Consider the following 12,525-nt stretch of genomic DNA (forward strand, 5'->3'; position numbering starts at 1 on the left):
GTCTGACAGGTGTGATGTCCATTTGATTATTCAAGATATGTTAGACCCTATTCAGTTATCTGGGCTTATAAAAGATGGAAAAACATAAACATGGCTGGGCACAGTGGCTCACGTCTATAATCCCAGCACTTTGGGAGGGCGAGGCAGGCGGATTGCCTGAGGTCAGGAGTTTGAGACCAGTCTGGCCAGCATGGTGAAACCCCGTCTCTACTAAAAATACAAAAAAAATTAACCAGGCATGGTGGCATGTGCCTGTAATCCCAGCTACTCAGGAGGCTGAGGCAGGGGAATTGCTTGAACCAGGGAGGTGGAGGTTGCAGTGAGCTGAGATCACGCCACTGTACTCCAGCCTGGGTGACAGAGTGAGACTCTGTCTCAAAAAAAGAAAAAAGAAAAGAAAAAAGAAATACAAACTCTATTCTCAGGAGGTCAAAAGCCCCTTCTGTGCTCCATGATTATCTTCAAGCCCACCTTTCTGTCACTTCTTCCCACTTTCTCAGCAGGGTGACTTTTCCTCTTCACAGGCTTGAGGATATCAAGTTGAAATGTCCTCTGATTATAACCTCCATCACCAAGGCTATTTGTACGTGTCACATTCCCCTTCCAGACTAAGGATGGTTGTTCTGCCAGTATTCTTGGTTGTGTCTTATCCTATCTCCACAAAGACTTTATTTATTTATTTTTAATTATTATACTTTAAGTTCTGGGGTACATGTGCAGAACATGCAGTTTTGTTACATGGGTATACACCTGCCATGGTGGTTTGCTGCACCCATCATCCTGTCAGCCTTCATTAGGTATTTCTCCTAATGCTATCCCTCCCCTAGCCCCCCACCTCTCTACAGGCCCCGGTTTGTGATGTTCCCTGCCCTGTGTCCATGTGTTCTCATTGTTCAACTCCCACTTACGAGTGAGAACATGGCAGTGTTTGGTTTTGTGTTGTTGTGATAGTTTGCTGAGAATGAGTTTCCAGCTTCATCCATATCCCTGCAAAGGACATGAACTCATCAACTTTTATGGCTGCATAGTATTCCATGGTGTATATGTGCCACATTTTCTTTATCCAGTCTATCACTGATGGACATTTGGGTTGGTTCCAAGTCTTTGCTATTGTGAATAGTGCTGCAATGAATATACGTATGCATGTGTCTTTGTAGTAGAAAGATTTATAATCCTTTGGGTATATACCCAGTAATGGGATCCTGGGTCAAATGGTATTTCTAGTTGTAGATCCTTGAGGAATCGCCACACTGCACAAAGACTTTATTAATTTCCTTTTCCCTTAACTATTTCTAGAGTCTCTTTTTTTCTAATTGCCATTCCCTGTCAGCATATGAGCATTCAAAAGTTTCTCTTTCTGTTCTATGTTGTTTTCTACCCACTGTGTTGTTATTCTTCTGTTTTGTAGTAGTTTCGACTTTAAAAAGTACACAGTTTCCTCAGGGAGATAAACATCAGCTTTCAATTATTACCCTTAGACAAATGCGAGTAGATGTAATTTCTGAGTGTTGAAACTAGCTTTTTGCCTTGTTCTTAAAGACAGTTATTTGATTTACAGTGTCTGAGACAGCTAAAGTTCATCACTCTAGTTCATCAGTTTTATTTTCCAAACCATCATTCATTATGGAATGCTAAATACATCAGTTCTCAAATAGTTGGTGAGGTTTTTTTTTCTTTTTTACTTTGTTGTCAGGTTGCACTTCCTGCAGAAGAGGATTATTTACCACTTAAACCACGAGTTGGAAAAGCTGCTAAGGTCTGTACTTTGGGTAATACAGTTTATATAGTTTCGTGAGACTCTCTTTTTCTTAAAATTCTTATTTCAAATGAGATTTTTATATTTCCCACAACATGTATATGTATGTATCAAGAACAAGCCAACTAAAGACAAATATAATGAGAACTGAATCAGTTAACAACTATGCTGGAAACCAGCCATTACATGATGAGATTTTAAAATATTAAAATTATGATTCTCAACCTTTTAAAAGAATGTAATGAAAGTTATCAACCTTTCTCCAGAAAAAAATACATGTGTACTAGTTTTTGCCTATAGTTTTAGGGTTTTAACAGGCTTCTAATGAAACCGGAACTCTGTGCTTTTTTTAGACGGATTTGGAAGGCCTGATAGACCTTAAAAGGCCAAGAAATTTTTAAGGTTTAATTTTCCAAGTAATTTTCTTAAATAAAAAAGGCGGTATGGTAGAGTATGCATGAACTCTTAAAGTCTAATAGATGTAATATTCTGCCTCTACGGAGTGAACTTTACTGAGAGACTTTTAGAGCCTCAGAGTTCCTACCTATGAAAGGAAATAATATCTATGATAGGGGTTGTTGTGAAAATTAGTAATAATATATGGAAAATGTGTTACACAGTGCCTGGCCACAGAGCTTGTTTTTGGTAAATGGTAATGATTATTTTATTATTAATATAATAGACACCAACATAATGTGATGATTGAAAGATTAGAGAGCAGAATTAGCTTCTATGTTGTTTGGGCAAAAATGTAGTGTACTCTTCCTTATTTTCACTAATGTGTAGTATATTTTCTAAATAAAATCATAAAGGAATACTCCCAGAATGCTTTGGGGGGTAGCCTGCTTGTGTTTTGATTTTAAGTATGCTCTGATACAACTAGATGTTTTTATGCAGATATTAATGTTTTGTTTTTATAGGAATACCCGTTCATTCTTGATGCTTTTCAAAGAGAGGCCATTCAGTGTGTTGACAATAATCAGTCTGTTCTAGTATCTGCACATACCTCAGCGGGAAAAACAGTATGCGCCGAGTGAGTAGCTTCCTTTTTAAAGTCACTTTGTTTCTTATTTCACTCTTTAAAAGTTTCTTTTTTGCTGTTTGATTTCTGCTAGTGAAGATGGTTTTACTTGTCCCTTTTGAACAATTTCTTTTTCATGTCTTATTGAACCTCTAATACAATGTTTACTTGAAGTAATAAAAGAGGACATTCTTTTCTTGTTCCTCATATTAGGAGAAAAACACTCAGGCTTTCATCGTTAAGCATGATATTACCTGTTGGTTTTTCACAGATGCTTTTTATTTATCAGTTTGAGGAACTTCTGTTCTTGGTTTGCAGAGATTTTGTTTGCATATGTATTTATGTCTATGGGTATAAAATATTTAGATACTGGATTTTGTCAAGTGCTTTTTTTGCATCTATTGACATGATTTTTTTTTTTCTTCTGCGCAGTCATGGCTCACTGCAGCCTTGACCTCTGGGCTCAGGCGATCCTCCTGCCTCAGCCTTCCTAGTAGATGGGACTAAAAGCGTGCACCATCACACCTGGCTAATTTTTTTTTTCTTTTTTTTTTAGAGGCAACACAGAGTCTCAAACTTAAATAGGCTGGTCTCAAACTCCTGGGCTCAAGCAATCGTCCCACCTTGGACTCCCAAATTTCTGGGATTACAGGCATGAGCTACCATGCCTGGCCATGTTTTTGATATGTTTCTTAAATAATTTGACACGTCTGATAAGTTATGTTTGATCTTGTTTTCTGTACAGCATCATTTCCCTTCTATCTGAAGAAATGCCTTTAGCAGTTTATTGTAGTGCAGTTCTACTGATGAGAAAATCTTAACTTTTGTATGTCTGAAAATCTTTTACTTTTTTTTGAAAGGTATTTTCCTTTGGTATGGAATTGTAATTTTCTTTTAAGACTGCCTTTTGACTTGCATAGTTTATGACAAGAAATCCTAGTATACCTTTGATACTCTGTACATAATGTGTCTTTTTTCCTCTGGCTGCTTTTAAGATTGATTTTTATCATTGATTTTAAGCAGTTTGTTTTTTATGTACCTTGGTGTTGTTTTTGCATTTTTTTCTTGTCTTTGGGTTTGTTTTTGCAGTCCTCAGGGCTCTTGTTCCAGGACTCTTTTGGGCCGCTTAAAGTTGTCTCACAACTCACTGATACTATATTCATTTTTTTTCTTTTGAGTTTCATTTGTGGGTCATTTCTAATGCAATGTCTTTAAATTTATTAATCTTTGCTTCTGAATTTTCTAATCTGCTGTTAATCTCATTGAGTGCTACTTTTTTATTGGTTGGTTTGTTTTTGAGGCAGGGTCTTGCTCTGTCGCCCAGGTTGGAGTGCAGTGGCACAAACAGAGCTCATTTGCATTCTCAAACTTGTGGGCTCAAGCAGTCCAACTCAGCGTCCCTAGTAGCTGGGACCACAGGCATGTGCCACCATGACTGGCTAAGTTTTTGATTATTTGTGGAGATGAAATCTCGCTATGTTGCCTACACTGGTCTCAAACTCCTGGGCTCAAGTGATTCTCCTGCCTTGCTCTCCCAAAGTGCTGGGCTTATAGGCATGAACTGAATGCATTTTTAATCTCAGATATTATCTTTTCTTTGCTAGATGTTCAATTTATTTTTGTTTTCCTCCGTGTCTCTTAACTTTTTTTAGCTTCCTTTTTTTCGTAATGTTTTTTTCTATTTCTAGTTTATAGAAATCCTAACTGCTTGAACAGATAGGGTACAGTTACAAAAACGTTAAATGTCCTTGTTACTACTTCGTTTATCTGATTACTTCCTGGTCTCTTTGATGGATTGACTTTCCTGCTTCTTTGATTTTTTTTTTAGTCACTGACTTCTTGATTATAATGTGACTGAGATAGTTTTTTTTTTTCCCATGTTTCTTATACTTGAGTTTGTAGGGTTTCTTAGATGTGTGGATTTATTATAGTTTTCATTATATTTGGGGAAATTTCAGACATTTTTTACTGCAAATATTGCCCTTCCTTTATTTCTTTGAGGACTCAAGTTATACTTACAGCAGGCCCCTTTAAGTTGTTCACAGCCCACTGAAGCTGTGTTTATTTATTATAATTTTATTTTTGGTGTTTATTCTGTTTCATTTTGGATAGTTTCTGTTGCTGTGACTTCAGGTTTATTCACTTTTTTTTTATTGCAGTGTCTTAATCTGCTTTTAATACTAGCCAGTGTGTTTTTTTAATCTCAGACACTCAGTTTCCATCTCTAAAATTTTGATTTCGTCAGTGTTTTCCGTATTTTTACTTAACGTGCTGTTTAATTTTCCTCAGCTTTCTTGAGCATATAGAGTACTGTTATAGTAACTTTTAATATCCCTGTTTACTAATTCTGTCATCTGTCTCATTTTTGGATCTGATTTTATTGATTAAAAAAAAATTTTCATTACAGACTGTGTTTTCCTGCACCTTGACATACCTGATACTTTTTTATTGCATGCCAAAACATTGTGAATTTTACCTTGTTCGGTGCTGAATACTTTTGCATTTTTGTACATATTTGTGAGATTTGTTCTGAGGTATAGTTAAGTTACTTGGAAAAAATATCCTTTTGAGGCTTACTTTTATGACTTTTTTAGGCACGACCAGAGTAGCATTTAGTCTAGGGCTGATTTTCCCCACTACTTAGTCAGTATTCCATGCAGTATCTTGTGAATTCTGAGGTTTTCCACTGTAGCTGGTGGGAAACCACATTTCTGCCAGTCGTGTATAAGATTTGGTAATTTTTATCTCTTCTCCTCTTGGTTGGTTTTTCCCTGGCCTCATAATTTCCTAAGACTTATTCACGGATCATTACTACCTGAAGACTTGCAGATGCTCAGCAGATTTTCAGAACCTTCTCTTTGCAGTTGTCTCCTCTGGTATTCTGCCCTGCAAACTCCAGCTGCCCTGGCCTTCACAGACTACGATCTTGGTCTGTTCAACTTAGGGAAACTTCCAGGGTTTACCTTGGTTGCCCATCTTAGAACTGCAGTTTGGAAAATCTAGGCAGTAATTTTGGATTACCTACTTTGTTTTCTCTCTCTTGGGGCGTACTGTTCTTATATCCAGTGTATGAAACCACTGTTTCATATATTTTGTGCTATTTATCATTGTTTCAGGTGGGTGGGTAAAGCCAGTTTCTGTTACTCCATCTTGGTGTAAGTGGATGTTTTCTGTATTATTTTTAATGTACATTATGTATTACTACAATAGTGCACGTATTTTGGTAGGTTCCTGTTCTTCTAAAATATATTTAATAACTAAGATTGTGTAGTCTTGCTACTCAAAGTATAGTCCTTGATACTACCTGGGAACTTGTTAGGCAGAATCTCTAGCCCCACCCTATAACTGCTGATTGAGAATCTACATTTTAACAAGATCACCAGGTGATGAATACTAATGTTTGATGGAACTGGGCCATTCTAAAAGTGGATGGATGGTGCTCATTAATGTGGATGGCGTTTTGCAATCTGTTGTAGATTGACTCTTTTGATTTAACTTTTACAATTTATAACATATTTCTCTATGACCTTTCCAGTTGAGTAGCTGAATTAGGTACTCTTAACAGGGGATACCTAAAGAGTAAAGAAGACTGTAGAGAAAAGAAACAGATAAAAAAAATGGCACCAGTCATCCTGTTCATCAGCCATTTTACCTTGGCATGGTGGTTGTCTTAGTCTGTTTTCTGTTGCTGTATTCTGCTTTAACAGAATACCACAGACTGGGTAATTTATAAAGAAAGGAAGTTTATTTGGCTCATGGTTCTGGAAGCTGAGAAAACCAAGAACATGGCACAGGCCTCTGGCGAGAGTCATCCCATGGCAAGAAAGGGAGAGGAAATTGGGCCTAACTTGTCCTTTTAACTGGGGCCCACCCCCTTGATAATTCCCTCCCAAGATAATGTAATTAGTATATTCATGAAGATGGAGCTTTCATGACCTCATCACCTCTTAAAGGCCCTACTTCCAAATACCATTACTTTGGCAATTAAATTTCTACATACATTTCGTAGGGGTCATCTAAATCATAGTAGTGATCAAAATAATTCATGAATCCTGGAATATTTTTTTCCTTAACAGGTTATCTTATCTATTATTAGTTCCTTCCAGACCTTGGCTTATCTGGTCATTGTGTTATTAATTCCTAATTCCGTCATCTGTCTCATTTTCAGATTTGTTTTTATTGATTTTTTTCCCTTGTCATTATAGGTTATATTTTCCTGCTTCTTTGCATACCTTTTATTGATACTAAAACATTGTGAATTTTACCTTGTTGGGTGCTGAATAATTTTGTATTCCTGGTCAGGGCTTATCTGGTCACTGTATTCATTCCTTCCAGACCTTGGCTTAGCTGTGTAAGTCTCAGTTTTTCTCTTCGTTGAGTTAGAGGAGTGAAGTTTGTATCTTATATTGTCATCTCAGCAGTATCAGCCAGTTGCAGAATAGTCTTTATCTCTTTCTCAGCCTTAAACACATTATGGTTCTCTATCACCCTAGTTATGTTCAGTGGAATTTCTTAAGAGTCCACTCCTGTTCAGAAGATGCTTAATTCACAAACCAGTTTCCTCCTAAGGCACAGGTATAGAAGAAGAGATTTGACTACTCTTAGTTCAATTATTTTTTTCACTATTTAATTGTGGTATGTTTGGTGCTTTATGCATTTAAAGCCAGCATATGTATAATAATTTGATTTTTGGCCATTAGTGTAACCTTGCTTTCATTTTTCCTACAAGAGGAGAGATTTTTCTGTAGAGGAAGTTTTCATATAGATATGCTGAAACCTGCTCTAAAACTTGGGCTAGGAAGTCGTAAAGGGAATTTAAGAAATTCACCAGGATTGTAGATACTAGAAAACCTGATGAGGTTGGCTGTGGAAAACAGTCTGGCAATTCTTCAAAAAGTTATAATGTAGAATTGTCATATGACCCAGCAATTCTACTCCTAGATTTGTTATAATGTAGAATTTGTTATAATGTAGAATGTTATAATGTAGAATGTAATGTGTTTGTTATAATGTTAGAATTATCATATGACCCAGCATTTCTACTCCTAGATTTGTACCCCCAAAGAATTGATAACAGGTACCTAAACAAATCTTCACAGCAGCGCTATTCACAATAGCCAAAAGGTAGAAACAATCCAGATGTCCATCAGTGGATGATGAATGGATAAATAAGTTGTAGTATATCCAGACAGTGGAATATTACTCTGCCATAAAAAGGAATAAAGTGCTGATACATGCTTGAAAACATTATGCGTACTAAAAGAAGTTGGAGTCAAAAGATTGCTTTATGATTCCATTTATGTGAAATATCCAGAATAGGTAAATCCATAGAGAAAGACAGCATATTGGTGAGGGACAGGGACTAGTGAGAGGAGGGGAGTAAAGAATAACTGCTTAGTGAGTACAGAGTTTTTTGGGAGGTGATGAAAATACTAGAATTAGATGGAGGTACTGGTTGCCTAACGTTATGAATGTACTAAATGCCACTGAAATATACACTTTAAAATGGTTAATTTTATGTTATGTGAATTTCACTTCAGTAAAAAGTAAACCTGATGAAGTACCTAATTGTATATGCACACCAGATGTTGCACACCAGATCTCACATATTTTCCCTAGTGATAAAGGACTTTAGGTAAACTCCTACTTCACCTGTTAACTATAGCAGGGTGCAACATTTTATTTATAAACCTGGTACTAGGACTAACGTGTTGGTATCAGGTTGTTTATATATGTAAAACAAATACTTTTTCTGACACTGCTGATTTTTTAAGTCTATGTGAATAGCTTTATTATATAATTTACTTACCATTAAATTTATCTATCATAAATATGTATTTGAGTGAGTTTTAGTAAATCGGTACAATTGTGCAACCCTTACCAGTTTTAGAAGACTTCCATCTATTTAGTTCTCTTATGTGTGTTTACATTCAAACCCATTCCTATCTCTAGCCACAGGCAAACACTGATCATCTTTTGGCCATTATAATACTGATGTAAACATTCATGTGCAAGTCTTTAAGTGGACCTATGTTTTCGTTTCTCTTAGCTAAGGTAGATACCTAGGAATGTGATTGCTGTATTTTATGGCAAATATGTATTTAACTGTTGAGGAGACTGCTGAACTATTTTTTAATGTGGCTGTACCATTTTATATTCCTACCAGTAATGTATGAGGGTGCCAGTTTCTCTGCATCCTTCCCTGCTCTTGGTATTGTCTTTTTTTATTATACCCATTTCAGTGATGTCCCAAAGTAGTTTTAATATGCATTTCTGTGATGACTAAGGGTGTTAAGCATCATTTCATGTTTATCATTTCTTTATATATCTTTGAATTGTTTATTTCAGTCTTGCTGATGTTTTAAATTGGGTTGTTGGTCTTAATTGCGTTGTAAGAAGTCTTTATTAGCATACAAGTTTTTTTAAAAAGCAGATGTGATTTATAAATATGTTTTTCATTCTGTGGCTTGTCTCAATTTCCTTTTGTAGAGAAAGCATTTTAATTTAAATGTTTAATTTCTTAATATTTTATAGATTGTTCATGCAATTGGTATACCTAAGAATTACCTAATTGTGATTTTGCCTATCCCAAAATCACAAGTATTTTCTTCTTCGTTTTCCTCTTGCAATTTCATAGTATTAGTTCTTCCATTTAGATCTGTGATTCTTCTCAAGTTAGTTTTTCTGTAAGATGTGAGGAAAGGGTCTAAATTTAGCTTTTTGTATTTGGATATCCAGTTGTTCCAATTCAAAGTACTATCTTTTCCCATTGAATTGAATTCCCGTAAATTACTCGTAAATTGTGTAGGATCGTTTCTGGACTTTGTTATATCTTTACACTAGTACACTATTTTGATTACTGTGGGGTTATAATAAGTATTGATACTAGGTAATGAGAATCTTCTAACTTCATTATTTTTAAAAACTGGGCACTTCCAGGTCTTTTGTATTTCCAATAGTATTTTAAGATTGGCTTGTGAATTTCCAACCAGAAAGCCCATTTTAATTTTGATAGGGATTTTGTTGAACTTAAAAATTAATTTGGAGAAAATTGTCATTGTAACAATATTGACTCAATCGATGAAAATGATGTATTTCTCCATTATTTAGGTCAACTTTAATTTCTGTTAGCAACACTTTGCAATTTTCAGTGTATAGGTCTTATACGTGTTTTCTTAAACCTATTCCTAAGTATTTCTGTTTATGCTATTGTGAATCACATTTTTTCTTAAGGTCATATTTGGATTGCTAATAGCTTGTATATTGAAATACAGTTGATTTTTATATACTGGTATTTTATCCAGCAACCTCATCATGTTTCCTTAAGTTTTATTAACTTTTTTGTACATTCCATAAGACTTTCTATATAGATGATAACATTGCCTGTGAAAAAAGATGGTTTTACTTCCTTTTCAATATGTGTGTCTTATTGCATTGTCAATATCTAGTACAACGTTGGATAGTACTGAGAGTGGACATCCTTGCCTTATTTCTGATATGAGGAAGAAAGCATTCAGTCTTTCAACATTAAGTATGACGTTAGCTGTTTTTTGCTGGTTGCTCTTTATGAGAATGAAGTTGTTTCTTTCTGTTCTTAGTAGGGAATAAATGAAAATAAACAAAAAAATTGAGAATTTTTATCAAGATATGTTGTATTTTGTGAAATGATTTTTCCATCTATTGAGGAAATCGTAGTATTAGCTTTTTATTCTCTTAGTGTACTATATTAAATTTTCTGATTTTAAACCAACCTTGTATTCCTGGAATAAATCTGGTTGTTTATGGCAGATGATCATTTGTGTATGTTACTGATTTCAGTTTGCCAGTACAGTTGTCACTCATTTTCCAGGGAGGATTGGGTCCCAGACCCCCTCATATAGCAGAATCCACAGATGCTCAAATTTCTGCAGTAGGCCCTGTGGAACCTTCAGATGTGAACAGTTGTCTCTCCGTATCCATGGGTTCCTCATCTTGCAAATACGATAGTGTATTTTCAATCCTCAGAACCTGCGTGTGTAGAGAGCTGACTCTGGTTTATTCTAGACTTTTGTGTCATCATGAGGAATAATGGTATGTGATTTTCTTATAAAGTCTTTGGCATTGGTGTCGGAGTAATACTGGAGACTTAAAGTAAGCTGGTAGTGTTGCCTCCTGGTCTGTTTTCCATAAGACTTTGTGTATTTGGCATACTTCTTAAATGTTTGATAGAATTTACTAGTGAAGCCATTTAAGCCTAGGCATTTCTTTGTGGGAAGATTTTTAATTCCTAATTTAATTTCCTGTTTTTTAAAGCCAATTTTGGTAAACCGTGTCTATCTAGAAATTTCTTTTTTTCTTTTATGAGACAGGGTCTTGCTGTCAACCGGGTTGGAATGCAATGGCATAATCATGGCTCACTGCAGCCTTGACTTCCCAGGCTCAACTGATGCTCCCACCTCAGCCACCTTAGTAACTGGGAGTACAGACGTGCGCTACCACACCCAGCTAATTTTTATATTTTATTTATTTATTTATTTTTAATTTATTTTTTGTAGCGACAGGGTCTGTGTTGCCCAGACTGGTCTTGAACTTCTGGGCTCAAGCAGTCCTCCTGCCTCAGCCTCCCAAAGTGCTGGGATTACAGGTGTGAGCCACTGTGCCTGGCGTAGAAATTTCCTGAGGTTTTAGATAATTCTTTATGTTTAATGTAAGTGTTTATATAAAACTATAAAATTTCACTCAGTACTGCTTAAAATGCATCCTGTAAACTGATATTACTGTGTTTCATTTTCATTTAATCCACTTTTTCATTTCTCTTTTGGTTCCCTTGTATGTTGTTTACTTTTCAAACGTGATTTTCCATATACTTAGCCATTTGTTATTTCTAACTTAATTTGTGATTAGAGAAGATACTTCGTGAAATTTCAGTAGTTTAATTTAATGATTGATATGGTTGGATTTATATTTGCCTTTTGTTGTTCGTTTTGGGGGTCTTTTGGTATATTTCTCATGTTTTTTTTTTGATCCTTATTTTTCCTCCATTGCCTTCTATTTTGTTTAACAAATATCTTTTAGTGTACCATTTTAATTTCTCTTGACTTTTTAGCTTTCTTTGAGTTAGTTTTTAGTGGTTATTTTGGGGCTTACAGTATGCATGTTTAACTAAATCACAGTCACAATTTATGGAAAATATTGAAAACTTGCCCTAGTATTTTCTTCTCATTTTTGTACTATTTAATACTGTCATATATTTCAACTACATATGCTATAAATCTAATAATACAGTATCTGTAATACAGTATAATCATTGCTTTAAATTGTGTTTTCTAAAAATATTAAGTGATAAAAATTTTATATATACCTTTACATACATAGTCTTAATTGTTCTGTTTTATGGTATTGCTTCCTTTTAGTTTGAAAGGTTTTTAATAAATATTTCTTACAGAGTAGTTTTATTTTGCTTTCATTTTTGAAGGACGGTGTCACTGGATATAGAGTTCCTGGTTGACCGATTTTTTTTCCCCTTCAACTCCAGATACATCATTCTACTGATATCATTTCATTCTACTCCATTGTTTCTGATGAGAAGTCAGCCTTAATTATGTTGTTCTCTTATGTATTGAGTTTTTCTGTTGTGGTTTTTCAAAGACTCTCTTTGCCTTTGTCATTTAGCAGTTTAACTATGATGTTTCTAGGTATGGTTCTTTTTTGCTTTTTCATGCTGTGTTAATTGAGCTTCTTGGATCTCTAATGTCTTTTAAACAAATGA

At 35.1% G+C, this 12,525-nt stretch overlaps 1 protein-coding gene and 1 long non-coding RNA gene across 2 annotated transcripts in view; one reads left to right on the plus strand and one right to left on the minus strand.

Annotated features, from left to right (window-relative positions):
- MTREX (Mtr4 exosome RNA helicase) overlaps positions 1–12,525 on the plus strand; it is a 117,591-nt gene that overhangs the window by 18,034 nt on the left and 87,032 nt on the right. Inside the window, exons 4-5 of the mRNA NM_015360.5 lie at positions 1,694–1,756; positions 2,677–2,789. Of these exons, the coding sequence (NP_056175.3) occupies positions 1,694–1,756; positions 2,677–2,789 (176 nt within the window). The remainder of the gene's footprint in view (positions 1–1,693; positions 1,757–2,676; positions 2,790–12,525) is intronic.
- LOC124900979 (uncharacterized) overlaps positions 1–12,525 on the minus strand; it is a 35,003-nt gene that overhangs the window by 17,874 nt on the left and 4,604 nt on the right. The window lies entirely within an intron of this gene.

This window comes from Homo sapiens, chromosome 5 (assembly GCF_000001405.40).
Source record: "Homo sapiens chromosome 5, GRCh38.p14 Primary Assembly".
Lineage (NCBI taxonomy): Eukaryota > Metazoa > Chordata > Mammalia > Primates > Hominidae > Homo > Homo sapiens.